Source organism: Homo sapiens, chromosome X, assembly GCF_000001405.40.
Source record: "Homo sapiens chromosome X, GRCh38.p14 Primary Assembly".
In the NCBI taxonomy this organism is placed as follows: domain Eukaryota; kingdom Metazoa; phylum Chordata; class Mammalia; order Primates; family Hominidae; genus Homo; species Homo sapiens.
In genome coordinates this window covers 116,009,954-116,027,849 of record NC_000023.11, presented here as the reverse complement: position 1 = coordinate 116,027,849, position 17,896 = coordinate 116,009,954, and the positions used below count along the sequence as shown (strand labels likewise).

The following is a 17,896-nucleotide window of genomic DNA, read 5'->3' as shown; positions in this document are numbered from 1 at the left end:
CTCTCACTGTATACAAAAATCAAATACAAATGGATTACAGACTTAAATCTAAGACCTTAAACTATTAAACTACTAGAAAAAAAATCAGAGCAACTCTCCAGGAGACTGATCTTAACATAGATTTCTAGAGTAATATCCCACAAACACAGGCAACACAAGGAAAAATGGACAAATGGGATAATATCAGGTGAAAAAGCTACTGCACAGCAAAGTATATAATCAACAAAGTGAAGACACAACCCACAGAATGAAAGAAAATATTTGCAAACTACCCATCTCACGTGGGATTAATAATCAGAATGTATAAGTAGCTCTAACAACTTTATAGGTGGAAACATACTAATCTGATTCAAAAATAGGCTAAATATTTGAACAGAAATTTCTTAAAAGAAGACATAAAAATGACCTACAGGTATATGAAAAGGTGCTCAACATCATTGATCATCAGAGAAATGCAAATCAAAACTACAATGAGATATCTCAACCCAGTTGAAATGGCTTATATCCAAATGTCAGCCAATAACAACTACTGGTGAGGATATGGAGAAAAGAGAACACCCGTACACTGTTGGTGAAAGGTAAATTAGTACAACTACTATGGAGAACAATTTAGAGGCTCCTTTAAAAACTATAAATAAAGCTTCCACGTGACCCAGCAATCCTACTGCTCAGATTACACCCAAAAGAAAGAAAATCAATACATTGAAGAGATATCGGCACTCCTATGTTTGTTAAAACACTGTTCACAAGAGCCAACATTTGGAAGCAACCTAAATGTCCATCAACAGATAAATGAATAAAGAAAACGTGGTACTTATACACAATGGAGTACTATCCAGCCTTTAAAAAAACCAAGATCCTGTAATTTGCAACAACATGGGTGGAACTGAAGTTTATTATGCTAAGTAAGCCAGGCACAGAAACAGAAACATTACATGTTCTCACTTATTTATGGAATTTAAAAATCAAAACAATTTAACCCATAGAGATAGAGTAGAAGGATTGTTACCAGAGGCTGAGAAGAGTAGTAGGAGGTTGAGTGTGAGGTGAGGATGGTTAATGGCTACCAAAAAATAGACAGTATTAATAAAACCTACTATTTGATGGCACAGTAGAGTGACTGTAGTCAATAATAATTTAATTGTACATATTAAAATAACTAATAGTGTATATTTGTATTGTTTTTAACACAAAGGATAAATGCTTGAGGGGCTAAATACCCCATTTTACATGGTGTGATTGTTATGCATTGCATGTCTGTATCAAAACATCTCATTTGCCCCATAAATATATACATCTCCCTTGTACCCATAAAAATTATAATAAAAATGTTTAAAATTTTAAAAATTAAATAGTTATATTGTTAGCTAAAGGAAATGGTCCTTGGTTTAAAACAAAGATGAGCCCATTAATCCTAATATGAATGTTTGTCACCTTGAGAAATAAATGTTTTCCAGAAAAAGAAATCAATTCACAGAAATGGAACGTAGAAAGGTTGTTTCCAGAGGATAGTGGGTGGGTAGGAGAAATGGAGATATGGTGGTCAATGGGTACAAATTTTCAGTTATAAGATAAATAATTTCTGAGAAGGTAAGGTAAAGCATGTGAACTATAGTTAATAATATGATATTGTATGCTTGAAATTTGCTATGGGCATAGATCTTAAGTGTTCTTTCCACAACAACAAAAACAGGTAACTTTCAGGCAGTGAATGTATTAACTAGCTTGAGCAGTAATCTTTTCACAATGTATATGTACATGTAACAAATCAGTGCATCATATAACTTAAATACATACAATGTTTATTTGTAAGTTATACTTCAATGAAGCTGAAAAAAATAAACAATTTCTAATTTTTTAAGTAGAAATATATGCCAGATATAATTGAAAGAATATAATTTGTCTAACTATAGATACATTACAATGCCATTTAAGTGTACACACATAAACATATAATACTGAAACCTTTCTATGGAGATATATATAAGTATTTTAAAGGATACTCACCAAATTGATAAATGTAGGCACCTCTAGGAAGGGAGAATGGCATCATATTTAAGGGTAATTCAAAAGGAACTTCAAAAACTCTTACCATTAACATTTGAATTTTACATTACCTGGTAATTAAAAATTAAATTTTAATTTTAGAAAAGTAATAGGATATGGATATTCGATACAATGTTTCTCTTCTAATAATATCAATCAAAATGTCACTCAATTGACCCATCAATTTCATTTCTAGAATTACATCAAGATAAAATATTAGAAATGTGTGCAAAGATTTAACTACCTAGATATTTATTATGGCATTTTTTGTAATAGCAAAATTTAGAAATCACCAAATGTCTAAAATTATAAATTGCTAAGGTGAATTATACTATATTCACATAGTGAAGCTATATATAACCATTACAAAATAATGTTTCTGAAGAATTTTAGATGGCACATTAAAATATTCATGTTATATTCAGTAAAAACCGAGGTCACAAAATATTATGATTATCCCAATTTTATTTTTCTTAAACAGAGAAAAAGAAAGAGTGAGACTAGACTGTTAATAGTAATTAACTTAAGAATTTTATGAATTTTTAATTTTTTTAAATTTTTAATGTTTAGGGTACATGGTAGATGTATATTTTTATAGGGTACAAGATATTTTTGATACAGGCATGCAATATTACATAAGCATATCATGGAAAATCATATCCATTCCCTCAAACATTTATCCTTTGAGTTACAAACAATCCAATTATGCTCCTTGAGTTATTTTAAAATGTAAAATTAAGTTATTATTGATGGTAGTCACCCTGTTGTGCTATCAAATATTAGGTCTTATTCATTCTATTATTTTTGTACACACTAACCATTTCCAACTCCCTCCCAGCTCCCCACTACCCTTTCCAGCCTCTGGTAATCTCTCTACTCTCAATGTCCATTAGTTCAACTGTTTTGATTTTTACATCCCACAAATAAGTGAGAACATGCGATGTTAGTCTTTCTGTGCCTGGCTTATTTCACTTAACAGAATGATCTTCAGTTTTATTCACGTTGTTGGAAATGACTAGATCTCATTCTTTGTACGGCTGAATAGTACTCCATTGTGTATATGTACCACATTTTCTTTATCCATTCATCTGTTGATGGACACGTAGGTTTCTTCAAAATATTAGCTATTGTGAAAAGTGCTGCAACAAATGTAAGAGTGCAGATACCTCTTCAATATATTGATTTCCTTCATTTTGGATATATACCCAGCTGTGGGGTTCATGGATAATATAGTAGCTCAACTTTTAGTCTTTTTAAGAACCTGCAAACTGTTCTCTATAGTTGTTGTACTAATTTACATTCACAACAAACAGCGTACTAGAGATCCCTTTTCTCCATCCTTGCCAAAATTTGTTATTGCCTGTATATTGGATAAAAACCATTTTAACTGTGGTGAGATCATATCTCATTGTAGTTTTTATTTACATTTCTATGATGATCAATGATGTTGAGCACCTTTTCATACGTTTGTTTGCCATTTGTGTGCCTTCTTCTGAGAAATGTCTATTCAAGTCTTTTGTCCATTTTTTTTGGATTATTTCATTCTTCCTATAGAATTGTTTGAGTTCCTTATGTATACTGATTATTAATTCCTCATCAGATGGGTAGTATAAAAACATTTTCTGCCATTTTTGGAGCTGTCTCTTCACTTCATTGCTTGTATCCTTTGTTGTGCAGAAGGTTTTTAACTTGATATGATTCCATTTGTTTATTTTTGCTTTGGTTGCCTGTGCTTGTGGGTAATTGCTGAAGAAATTTTGGGCCAGCCCAATGTCCTAGAGATGTTCTCCAATGTTTTCTTGTGGTGATTTCATAGTTTAAAGTTTTAGATTTTATTCTGTGATACATTTTCACTTTATATATAGTGAGAGATAGAGGTTTAGTTTCATTCTTCTGCATATGAATATCCAGTATTCACAGCACCCTTTATTGAAGAGACTTTTTCCCATTGTATGTTCTTGACCCTTCTGTCAAAAATGACTTCACTGTAGGTCTGTGGATTTATTTCTGGGTTCTCTATTTTGTCCTATTGGTTTATTTGTCTATCTTTATGCCAATATCCCACTGTTTTGGTTACTATAGCTTTGCGGTATAATTTGAAGTCAGGTGATGCGATTCATCCAGTTTTGTTCTTTTTGCTTGGAATAGCATTGTCTATCCTGGGTCTTATATGGTTTCACATAAACTTTAAGATTGATTTTCCGATTTCTGTGAAAAATATCATTGGTAATTTGGATAGGAATTGTATTGAATCTATAGATTGCTTGGATTGTATGGACATTTTAACAATGTTGATTCTTCCAATTCATGAACATGAAAGAGCTTTTCATTTTTTTGGTGTCCTCTTCAATTTCTTTTATCAATGTTTTATAGTTTTCATTAAGGAAATCTTTCACGTTTTTGGTTAAGTTAATTTCCAGGTATTTACTTTTACGTGTGGCTATTGTAAGTGGGATTACTTTTTTATTTCTTTTTCACATTGTTCACTCTTGGCATATAGAAATGCTACTGATTTTTGTATGTTGATTTTGCATCCTGTAACATTACTAAATTTGCTTATCAGTTTTATGAGCTTTTTGTGGAGTCTTTAGGTTTTTTCAAAAAAAAGATCATATAATCTGCAAACAATAATTGTTTGACTTCTCCCTTTCTAATTGAGATGCCCTTTATATCTTTCTCTTGTGTGATTGCTCTAGCTAGGACTTCCAGTACTGTGTTGAATAACAGTGGTAACACTGGGCATCTTTGTTATGCTCTAGATCTTAGAGGAAAGGCTTTCGGTTTTTCCCCACTGAGTATGATACTAACTGTGGGTGTGTTGTACATGGCTCTTATTATGTTGAGGTATGTTCTTTATATTCTTAAATTTTCGAGGGTTTTTTTTGTCATAAGATTACGTTGAGTTTTATCAAATGCTTTTTCAGCATCAGCTGAAATGATCATATGGTTTTTATCCTTCATTTTCTTGATCTGATTTATCACATTGATTGATTTGCGTATGTTGAAACAACTTTGCATTCCAGAGGTAAATCCCCCTTTGTCATTATGAATGATCTTTCTAATGTATTATTGAATTCGGTTTGCTAGTGTTTTGTTGAGAGTTTTCACATCAGTATTCATTAGAGATATTGGCCTGTGGTTTTCTTTTTTTGATGTGTCTTTGTCTGGTTTTGGTACCAAGGTAATAATGACCTAAAAGAATGAGTGTGGAAGTATTTCCTTCTACTCTATTTTTTCAGCATAATTTGAGGATAAATAGTATTAGTTTTTTAAATGTTTAGTAAAATTCAGCAGGGAAGCCATCTGGTCCTAGGATTTTCTTAGCTGAGAGACTTTATTATGGCATTGAACTCGTTACTTATTAGTCTGTTCTTGTTTTGGATTTCTTTCTGGTTCAATCTTTGTAGGTTTTATGTATCTAGGAATTTGTTAATTTATTCTAGATTTTCCAATTTACTTGCATGTAGTTGCTCATAATAGCCACTAATGATCCTTTAAATTTCTGCAGTATCAGTGGCAATGTCTTTTTGTTCATCTCAGATTTTATTTATACAGATCTCTCTATTTTTCTTAATTAGTCTGACTAAAGCTTTGTCCATTTTTCACTTTCCAAAAAAACAACTTTTTGTTTCATTGATCTTTTGTATTGTTTTTACTTTTCATTTCTGTTTTACTTATTGCTGCTCTGATCCTTATTCTTTCTGTTCTCTTACTAATTTTGGGTTTGGTTTGCTCTAGTTTTCCTAGACTCATTGTTAGGTTGTTTATTTGAAGTGTTATTTTTAATGTAAGCTCTTATAGCTACAAACTTCCTTCTGAGTACCACTATTGGTGTATCTGATAAGTTTTGATATGTTGTGTTTTGGTGTTTCCATTATCAGTTGTTTCAAGAAATTATCTTAATTTCCTTCTTAATTTTTTCATTGATCCACTGGTAATTTAGAAGCATAATCTTTAATTTTCATGTATTTGTATAGTTTTCAATATTACTCTTGTTATTAATTTCTAGTTTTATTCCATTAGGAGCAGAGAGGATGCTTGACATCATTTCAAATTTTTAATGTTTTAACACTTGTTTTGTGACATAATATATGGTCTATTGTTGATAATGACCTAAACATTATACTAAATGGCAACTTTAGTATATGAGTGCTCCAATTGCTCCATAACTCAGAAAATACTTGGCATGGTCAGGTTTTTAATTTTTGCCATTCTAATGAATCTGAAGTATTATGTCTTAGTCCATTTTGTGCTCCTGAAACACAATACTTGAGACTGTGTCTAAAGAAAACAAATGTGTTTCTTACAGTCCTAGAAGCTGAGGAGTCCAATATCAAAGCACAGGCAGGTTTGGTGTTTAGTAAGAACCTGGTATCCACTTCTAAAATGGTGCCTTGAACATTGCATCCTCCAGTAGGGAGGAACACTGTTTCTCACATGGAAGTAGAAGAACTAAGACAGGGTGAGAGAGGGCAAGACTCACTCTTTTATACCATCACCAATTGTACTCATGAAGATGGAGCCCTCATGACTTAATCACCTCTTAAATGTCCAACCTCTTAATACTGTTAAAATAGCAATTAAATTTCAACATGAGTTTTGGAGGGGACAAACATTCAAACCATAGCAAGTTATCTCATTGTGATTTTTATTTTCATTTATTTGATGACTAAAGATATTCAATATCTTTTCACCTCCATTGGAATTTATTTATTTACATGTTTTGTGAGTCATCACATCGTTTCTAAAATAACCTGATTTTGAAGTAAAAATCCTTGTTTGAATCCCATATCTGCCATTTGCAGCTGATTGATCTAGGGCCACTATTCATCCAGTCTGAGCCACAGTTAATTTATCTGTAAAATTGAAACAATACATTTTCACAGGTAGATCTCACAGATAGATAAAGTATGTGAGGTACCTAGCAAAATGCCACCTACATATAGATCTTAATAAATGGTAACTATGATTATTATTGTTGAAACTCATTTGTAATCCTTGCCAGTTTTCCTTCCAAGGACATAGTCAAAGAAGCATGACCCATAAGCCTTATCTGTAATCATAGTGCTGTAACTCAAGGATTTGCTTTACACTTTCTCACCTACTGCTTTCCTCTACACTTTTCAAGCTTCAAATTTTTAATGATTTTCCCAGTTTCTGTCTCACTCTCTCACAAAAGTGTAAGTACCATGAAGTAAGCAACTATATCTGTATTATATAACTCTGTATCCTCTGCAACTAGAAAAGTGTGATAAATATTTACTGAGTAAAAGAAGAAATACTTGCATCCCCTCTGTATCTCATTCTATGCATTGATGCACACGCTGGTTGGCCTATCTGTTTTTCAATTTTAATTTCTCCAGGAGATATAAGGTGCTTTCTTTTGTAATTGTCCATGAATAAATCCTGCCTCACCCCCACTCGACCTAGAAACTCAAAACACTACTGTAGGTTCATTCAACCTTCTAGGATTATGCTTATCTAGAAAGAGGCAAGATTTGGAGCCACAATTTTTTAATCAACCAATTCACAGTGACTTTTGATAATTCTTATCACTAGGATCCTGACTTAGAGAATTCCATACACAAGCTGTTGTAAACTCATAAGTAATTGACTCAGGTGCAATGTAGCATTCTCAAACATTCTCAGAATAAGCAGATGTTATTATTGTTTTGCCCTGCAGAAAGTCAACAAGCAAAATGCCTTGAGCATCCAAAAAAACTGTTTTCATAATCTTTGCTCTTGACCAGTCCACTTTTGTTTGAACGAATCACTTCCACCTTTTGGTAGCTATCGCTTTGATTATGTTTTGTCTTCAGGATTATACTGGTAAAAGCCATGCTTTATATCCTGTTATAATTCTTTGAAGAAATGCTTCAGGATATTGACCCCACTTCAAAATTTTCACTAAAAGCTTTGTTCTTAAGTGCCGCTGATCTAGTCCCAATGGTTTTGACATCCATCAAGTAGAAAGTTTGCTCAATTTTAATCTTTCTGTCAGAATTGTGTGAGCTGAATCAATTGTGATGCTTATGGTATTGAACTTTTTTTTCTGCTGTTAATTGTCAGTTCTTCAACAAGGGCATGAATAAAATGAATTTTTTCCTCACAAATTGATGTGGATGGTCTATGTGGTAGACTTCATTTTCAACATTGTCTTGTCCCTTCTTAAAACAAGTTATCCATTTGTAATGTACTGATTTCCTTGAGACATTGTCTCCATAAACTTTATGTGAAGCATCAATGACTTCACCATTCATTCACCAAGATTCACTATAAATTTGATGTTTGTTCTTGCTTTAATTTTCACAGAATTCATGGTGCTCTGATAAGAGCTCTTTTCAAACTGATGTCTTAGGCTTCTTAGTGCCTCAAACTAAATCCTGTTCAGACATGATGCAATAAGATAGTATGAGTTTATGTTGGTGCAAAAAAAATTGAAATCAATGCATAGTTTTTTCCTAATATGCATTTTCCCATGAACTTTTTGAAGACCCCTCATATACCACCTACTGTGTACTAAATGTTGAGTATAAGAAGTGAACAAAACAGATATAATTCCTCTCTCCATGGCACTTTCAGTTTAGTTAGTTGTCCTATCTGATGAAGAAAAACATTGAACAGCCAAATAAAAAATTATCAAATTGTATTAATTATGGCATCTATTTAGAAATTAACTTTTAATTTTTCTAGAATCAGCTCAAGCATTACTTCACCTGATAAACCATTTCTAACCTCCAGGGTAGAAGGGACCACTCTTGACCTTGATACCCTACCCTATACAGTCTTCTCTCATAGCTTCAACATTTTACTTATTTATGTTCTTGGCAATTTCCCGTTAGTATGTAAAAGCATGTTTCTCAATCAGTAATCAACCAATATAAATTGAAGTCCTTCTATATAGTAGAGACTGTGTAAGACATTGGACATACACTGATTAGTAAAACATTGATGAACAAAATCTACTGTTTTATAAATTAAAATCTAATAGATGAGTCACATAATTAAATGAACAAATATATGACTACAAAATTTAATCCATTCTATAAAGAAAAGGAACAGGATTATAAAAACAGTAATGAGAGGCATAAGTTTGATTGAGGAATCAGGAATGACTTCTCTGAAAAATAAATGCTTCAGCCAAGATTTGAAAGATCACGGCTGAGTGCGGTCACTTATGCCTGTAATCCTAGCACTTTGGGAGGCCAAAGCGGCTGGATCACTTGGGCTCAGGAGTTTAAGACCAGCCTGGGAAACATGGTGAAACTCTGTTTCTACAAAAAATACAAAAATTAGCTGGGCATGGTGGGGCGTACCTGTAGTCCCAGCTACTTGGGAGGCTGTGGTGGGAAATCACCTAAGCCTAGGGATTTCAATGCTGCAGTGGGCCATGACAGTGCCACTCCAGGCTGGATGACCAAATAAGACCCTGTCTCAAAAAAAAAAAAAAGAAAGAAAGAAAGATCAGTAGGAGTTGGCCAAAAAATGAGTGAAGAAGAGAATGACCGGCAGAGGTTGCAGTATGTGCAACAGTGAATTTGGGCTTATTCCTAAGCAATGTCACCTTCTACTAGTGCAAAGTAATTTTTGACAGTAGGTGATCATATTATATGTCTGCTATAGAATGAATGTTTGTGCCCTTCTCCAAGTTTTTATGTTGAAATCTTAACCCCCAGTGTGATGGTATTAAGAAGTGAGGCCTTTGGGAAGTGACTGATAGGATTAGTACCCATATAAAAGAGACAACAAAGAGGTCTTTTGCCCCTCTGCTATTTGAGGATGCAGGTAGAAGGTGCCATCTATGAACCAGGAAGTGGGCCATCACCAAACACCAAATCTCCAATGCCTTGATCTTGAACTTCCCAGACTCCAGAACTGTGAGAGATAAATTTCTGTTGTTTATAAGCCATCTTGTCTATGACATTCTGTTACAGTAGCCCAGACAGACTAATATAATACTCTAGTAGAGTTTCTTCAAATTGAAATAATAATAGTCATAGAGGTATCTGGCAACTTTGTGTAACAAGCCCTAATACAGCACACCTGAACCCATCCAACTGTGAGTGTTAGACACTGACAGCAATGTCAGTGAAAACCAGTCTCATGAGAACACCACAAGAGAACCCTCCTTGGTAGTACTTTAAAGAAGCTAAAGCTATTTGTTGCAAATTGCTTTTATTTCATCTTCATTCTTAGCATCACTTGGCCAGAGGCTCACAATTTTATCCTAAAAAAAACCACACTCTCTGCTTTACATCAGAAATCTGCTACTAGCACAAATAATATCTCCCAGACTCCAACATTTTGCCACCTCTGGGCCAGCGTTCCTGGGATCTTGGTAATATATTATTATATGTAAATGCAGAAGAGTTTATCTAAATCCATGCATGACCACAACATTAGTCTCTTGCCAGAGCCCACATGTTTGAAAAGTAGGCCTACTTCAGAGGGCTAATTCCATGGTCAAGGCCCCTCACTTGTATATACATACCAATTATTCATAAGAACATTTACCATCCCATTAGAAGGTCATCTTCTTCCAATATTATCAGATCATAAAGAAGCTACAATTTAAGAATGATAGCACTTGAGTTGATTGTTTACCTCCTATATAGCATTTTTAGTGTTATTCATAAAATTAGATCTCTGAAGTGTCTACAACTTTGCCAGTATCTAGAAAGGTGGCAAGTGAAATATTGTCTTCTACAAATACTTTTGTAGTTTCAATGTCCTATGTTGCCGTTTGACCTGCACAATATCCTAATCTCCCAGAAATTAATCAAAATCTTTCTTGTTCAAAATCTTGCTCTAAGCAAGAATTCCACTAAAAGAAGTGGACTCTAGAAGATTTTACAGAGTTTAACACCATAGATGGGAAATCCTTGCTCAGTGCTCAATATAGGTTTGGAAAATGAATTAGTGAACACATGGATGAATGAATACATGTATATATAGATAGATAGATAAATGAATGGAAACAAAAGAAACAATCAAGCTATAACAGAACTTTTAGGGTATCTACAAATTATATGTCAAGCTATTTTTCAGCACATACTATATGAAGGCATTATTGCAAGTAATTTATATGTGTTATCTCACTTAATCCTCACAAATTTCAAATGAACTAAATTCTAGCACTAGTTATATAATTAAGAAACTGAAGTTCAGAGAGTGATGTGGTTTGGATGTGTGTCCCCTCCAAACTTCATGTTGAAATGTGATCCCCAATGTTGCAGGCGGGGCGTAGTAGGAGATGTTTGGATCATGGGACAGATCCCTCATGAATGGCTTTGTACCCTCCCCATGGTTATGAGTTCATGTGTAATCTGACTGTTTAAAAGTGTCTGGGACCTCCTTCCTCACTCTCTCATTCCCTCTCTTGCCATGTGACATGTCTGCTTCCACTTTACCTTTCACCATGATTGTAAGCTTCCTGAGGCTTCACCAGAAGCAGATGCTGGCACCATGCTACTTGTACAGCCTGCAGAACCATTAGCCAAATAAACCTCTTTTCTTTATATATTACCCAGTCTCTACTATTCCTTTATAGGAATCCAAAATTGACTAATACAGAGAGATAAAGTAATTTTTGAAAGTCACAGAAAATAAGTGGCAGAATTAAAATATCATCCCAGGCATTTTGGTTCCATGTCTTACTATTTAAACCTCTAATGCAACCTCCTCTAATAAATAATACATTTGCATGAATGTATTATTTTAGTAAGAAGAGATAGTATATCTAAATATGACTATATGACATTGTAAAAGAGGTATTTAAATTTCAAGGGAAGTGTAGAAGCAAAGAAGAGACTTCAAACATAAATTATTGCTATGAGAAATGGTGCTCATTGATGTTCAGAGGCTCAGACTTTGGGATACCTACAAATCTGGGCTCAAATTTCAGCTATGGCACTAATTTAGCTTTATGACCTTGAACACATTACCAAATTTCTGTGCATTTTAGTTTTCCCCACTGTAAAATGTGGGTAACATTAGAACCCATTAAATGGCAGTTGACAGAATTAGATAATACAAATAAAGCCCTTAGTGCAATATCCAGCATATAGCAAAAACTCAATCATATTGACAACTATTATTATATTATTATTACTGTACTAATTTCCCAGATGTATAATAGAAATGTAAATGGTAAATTATTTTCACATTTCAAGATATCTATAATACTTGTCATAGTGTGAACATATTCTAAAGATCAGATCAAATGAGAATGAATTCAACTTCAAGGAAGACAAAAATCAAATTAACCAAGGTGATCTAATGAGGGTGGTAATATTTTAATTCTTAGGCTAATAGACAATAATATGTGTCACTTCAGGAAACAAAAATATGGCAGATTAAAATTAAGAAGCATATTTATTCAATTTGTTAAGTAGTCATTATTCCTTAAAGATTTTTTTTTTTTTGAGACAGAGTCTCCCTCTGCCATCCAGCCTGGAGGGTAGTGGTGCAATCTCAGCTCACTGCAAACTCCACCTCCCAGGTTCAAGCAATTCTCCCACCTCAGCCTCCCAAGTAGCTGGGATTACAGGTGTGAGCCACCATGCCCTGCTAATTTTTGTATTTTTAGTAGAAACAGGGTTTTACCATGTTGGCCAGGCTGGTCTCAAACTCCTGACCTCAGGTGATCTGCCTGCCTCAGACTCCTAAAATGCTGAGACTACAGGCATGAGCCACTGCGCCCAGCCTAAAGGTCAATTTTTTTTAATCATAAAATCCCAATTCAGAAGTCTAGAATGCAAGATATTATGTATGGCAACACACATACATACATACATGCATCCTACTTCCAACCTAGAAAATGGCTTCTCATCTGGAAATCATCATAAACAAGATTTCCCACTGTGTCTAGGCAAGTGTTACTGTATTGTAACTTTTATTGATCTTAACCCTGACTCTGACATTTAACTAAAGTACCGGTTGCTCAGTGCTATGTACCCAGCAACCTATGTCAAGCGCGTCCATGTGAAGAGACCAACAAACAGGCTTTGTGTGAGCAATAAGACTGTTTATTCACTTGGGTGCAAGTGGGCTCAGTCTGAAAAGAGAGTCAGTGAAGGGAGATGGGGAAGGGTTTGCTTTATAGGAGTTGGGTAGGTAATGGAAAATTACAGTAAAAGGTGGTTATCTATTGTTAGCAGAGGGGGGGTCACAAGGTACATGGTGGGGAGATCATAAGACTCATTGTCCAAAAGAAGAATGTTGCAAAGTTGATTGATCAGCTAAGGTAGGGCAGGGACAAGTCACAATGGTAAAATGTTGTAATTTTGGTTAATCAGTTAAGGCAGGAACTGGTTGTTTTACATCTTTGTGATTTTTTGGCTGCTCCAGACTTCTTGGCTCCTGCAGGCCACCTGGATGTGTATGTGCAGGTCACAGAAGTTATAATGGCTGAGTTTCAGCTCAGAGGCCTGACATTCCTGTCTTTTTATTTATAAAATATAAAGCTATAAGAAAAGATAAAGAAAATATAACTTTTTACTGAGGGTTATTGGGGTAGGGGCGATGTTTCTTGGGACTGCTTCAAGTGTGACCAGGGACTGCACAGACACCTTAAAGAATATTCAAGGGCAGAGGGCAGCATAAGAACGGGAATGAGGTTAAAAGTAAGTATAAAGGTAAAGAATAGGACTTCATCATGGTGAAAGTATTGGAGTGTGCCCTGCCAGCAAAAATCACCTATCCATTACAAGAGGGAGTCAAGAGTGGTGGTTTGGGGATAGCACCAGGAGATATAAGCTGTGATGGTTTGGAGAAAAAGTGTAAACTGGCAATGTAAACAAAAGCAGGGCATTTATGAGTAGGTGAGAATGGTGAATAGGAAAATAGCAGGGATGAAAAAGTTTGTGAGGTGCAGTGCAAGAAGGAGGGGTTGACTGCATAAAGCAGTTGTAAAGAGTAGAGTAAGGAAGAAGAGACTTAATAAAAATGCACAACAGGATGGATGGGAAGGACTATCTGATTTATGAGGTGAAGGTCTTGAATTAGCCTGTAGGACTTGTCCAGTTTCTGGATGGGTAGGATAGGAGAGTTGTAAGGAGAATGTATAGGCTTTAAAAGCCATGTTGTAGCAGGTGAGTGATAACAGGCATCAGTTCGTTTAAAGCCTGCTGTGGGATGGGATATTGGCATTGAGCAGGGTAAGCATGATTAGGTTATAATGGGATAGTAATGGGCGTGTGATCAGTTGTCAGGGAGGGAGTAGAGCTGTCCCGTACCTGTGGGTTAAGATGGGGGATACAAGAGGAAGACATGAAGGAGACTTTGGATTAGGAAGAAGGGCAGTAATGAGATGTGGCTGTAGTCCAGGAATAGTCAGGGAAGCAGATAATTTGGTTAAAATGTCTCAACCTAAATGGAAACTGGGCACATGGGGATAACTAAAAAGGAGTGCATAAAAGAATTTTGTCCAAGTTGGCACCAAAGTTGGGGAGTTATAAGAGGTTTTGAGGCCTGGTCATCAATATCCACAACAGTTATGGGGGCAATGGAAACAGGCCTTGAAAAGAAGGTAATGTGGAGTGGGTAGCCCCTGTATCTATTAAAAAGGGGATGGACTTACCCTCCACTGTGAGAGTTACCCGAAGCTCAGCATCTGTGACGGTCCAGGGGTTTTCCAAGGCAATTGGGCAGTGTCAGTCTTCAGTCACTAAGCCAAGCAGATCTGGGAAGGAGTCAGTCAGAGATCCTTGGGCCAGAGCTTTAGGGGTTCTGGGAGTGGTTGCCGGGTGATCTGGGCAGTCTGATTTCCAGTGGGTCCCTGCACAGATGGGACATGGCTTGGGAGGAATCCCAGGCTGCGAGCATTCCTTGGCCCAGTGGCCAGATTTCTGGCACTTACAGCAAGATCCTGAGGGATGAGGTCCTATAGGAATGCCTGACCACTGTGGCTTAGGTGTTTTGAAGTTCTTGTGTGCTGGAGGTGCAGCTGGGTTGTGTCTCACAGCAGAGGCAAGTAATTGTAACTCAGAAATGTGTTGCCACTTGGCTGCTTCGTCTCTATTACTGTACGCCTTGAAGGCGAGGCTGGTTAATTCCTGTTGTGGGGTGGATTCCAATTTTTGAAGCTTTTTTCTAATGTCAGAAGCTGACTGGGTGATAAAATGCATATCGAGAATAAGATGGCCTTCAGGCCCTTCAGGGTCTAAGGCTGTAAAGCATCTCAAGGTTGCTGCCAAACGAGCCATGAACTGGGCTGGGTTTTCATCTTTACCTTGGGTAGTTTCTTTAATTTTGTCATAATTAACAGCTTTGTATGCTGCCCTTTTAAGCCCTTCAACTAGGCAGGAAATCATGTAATCTCATCTAGCTATACCTGGGGAACCTGCCTGATACTCCCATCGGGGATCCTCTTGGGGAACTGCCCTGATGCCTTCTTGAAGGTCCGGCTCATGATGTCGGCAGGTGTCAGCGTGGGACTGGGCTAGAGAAAAAACTCTTTCTCATTCATCTGGGGAGAGGGTAGAAGTTAGTATCACATTTAAGTCACTCCAGGTTAAATTGTAGGACTGAGTTAAATATTGGAATTCCTGTATATATTTTGTGGTGTCTGATGAGAAGGAGCCTAAGCATTGATTAACTTGGGAAAGGTCTGATAGAGAAAATGGTACACGCACTCTGACAATGCCTTCAGCCCCAGCCACCTCTCAAAGAGGAAATTTTGGGGCAGGCGGGGGAGTATTTGCCACAGAATGAAATTGTAAGCCAGACTGGGTGTGGGGAGGGGAGGTGACAGAAGGGTTATAAGGTGGAGAAGTGGAGGCTGAGGAAGAATTGGGACTTGATTCAGCCTGCCAAGGAGTGGCCTGAGGAAGGGGAGAGAGGTCAGGGGGGTCCGCAAAAAAAGGAGAATTCAAAAGACTCAGTGGCACTTGGGGTTGGGACTGAAGGGACAGGCAGGAGGGAAAGAAGGAAGATTTGGGATGAGTTGCATTGGGAACAGAAATTAGGGAGGGGACAAAGTGTAAAACATGCCTGGACATAGGGCACCTCAGACCATTTGCCCATTTTATGAAAAAAATTATCTAGATATTGTAGGATGGAAAAATCAACAGTGCCATTTTCTGGCCATTTACAGCCATTATCAAGTTTGTATTGGAGCCAAGCGGTGTTGCAGAAGAAAATAAGATGCTAGGTTTTAGGTCAGGTGAGGGTTGAAGAGGTTTTAAGTTTTTAAGAACACAGGTTAAGGGGGAAGAAGGAGGAATGGAGGGCAGAAGGTTGCCCATAGTAAAAAAAAGGGAAATTTAGAGAAAAGAGGAGTAAAAAGGGGGGGGTAGTACTTGCCACCAAGGTGGAGGATCAAGGCAGGTGTCCCCATGGTGATCGAACACCTCTGGAATGCGGGTGAATAATCAGGCAGGTGTCCCCGCGGTGATTAGACACCAAGGGAAGACTGTCTTCCTGAGTCCATGACCAGTGCCACCAGCATTTTGGATCCATGGAAAAAACACGTTTCTGCTATCTCTACCAGAAAGGAAAAGGAAATGAAAGGAATGGAGGGATTGAAGGGTGGTGCTGAAATTGAAAGAAGAAAGAGGTTGAGAGATAGTGAGAGAGGTTGGAGAACAGAATAAAAAAAGACTGCTTACCCAATTTAAAATTGGTGAGGTGTTTCTTGGGCTGGTCTGAGAACCTGACGTCATAGGTGGATTTTCTCACAGAGCAAAGAGCAGGAAGACAGGGGATTGATCTCCCGAGGGAGGTCCCCTGATCCAAGTCACGGCACCAAATGTAGCAGGAGGACAGGGGATTGATCTCCCAAGGGAGGTCCCCCGATCTGAGTCATGGCACCAAATGTCAAGCACATCTATGTGAAGAGACCAACAGACAGGCTTTGTGTGGGCAATAACACTGTTTATTCACTTGGGTGCAAGTGGGCTGAGTCCGAAAAGAGAGTCAGTGAAGGGAGATGGGGAAGGGGTTGCTTTACAGGAGTTGGGTAGGTAATGGAAAATTACAGTAAAAGGTGGTTATCTATTGTTAGCAGAGGAGGGGGTCACAAGGTACATGGTGGGGAGATCATAAGACTCATTGTCCAAAAGAAGAATGTTGCAAAGTTGATTGATCAGCTAAGGTAGGGCAGGGACAAGTCACAATGGTAAAATGTAATTTTGGTTAATCAGTTAAGGCAGGAACTGACTGATTTACTTCTTTGTGGTTTTTTGGCTGCTCCAGACTTCTTGGCCCCTGCAGGCCACCTGGATGTGTATGTGCAGGTCACAGAAGTTATAATGGCTGAGCTTCAGCTCAGAGGGCTGACACCTGTACTTCAGTTAAAGAGTTTAGTTTCAGAGTTTTGACCACATAATGTCTAATAAGGAAAACTGTGAAGAAGCACAGTTAAACAGAAGTCATGGATTTTTCAGCTTCTATTGTTTCAGGTGCCACAGAAAATCAGCAGATCCATGACACACCACAGGCAGTAAGGCAGTTTGTGTTAGGCAGGCAGCTGGAGACAGACAACAGGACCCAGAGCCAGAGACAGGAATAGGTAGACAGCAGCTCACCAGAAGAGCCAGAGGCATTTTAGAAGCAAGTGTGAGCATGATGGGGAGAAACAGGGCATCATGACAAAATAGGCAAATTGGAAGCCTTGCAGGGTCAACCAAATGGTCTGTTTTTCAGAAACCTAAAAGAGGAAAGGGTGGGTAGACGCTGGAGAGTGAGGGGATAGTGGTAGAGACTGAAAACCAAAAGCAGAACAGGAACAAATTAAAAACGGAGAATGCAGTTGCATTGCGTCAGAATCAAGTGGACTTTGGCAGCTAAGGCAGCTCGCTGCTCCAGCTTCAGCTGTTCTTCCCCTCCTGCCACGTGAATCGGGCCTGGG

The 17,896-nt window shown here is 37.1% G+C and overlaps 1 annotated feature.

Annotated features, from left to right (window-relative positions):
- Positions 17,526–17,615: an enhancer, noted in NCBI's record as "active region_29867". NCBI's record gives its function as "activates an Ori minimal core promoter by ATAC-STARR-seq in GM12878 lymphoblastoid cells {active_cell/tissue: GM12878}" and the evidence as "EXISTENCE:reporter gene assay evidence [ECO:0000049][PMID:35858748]".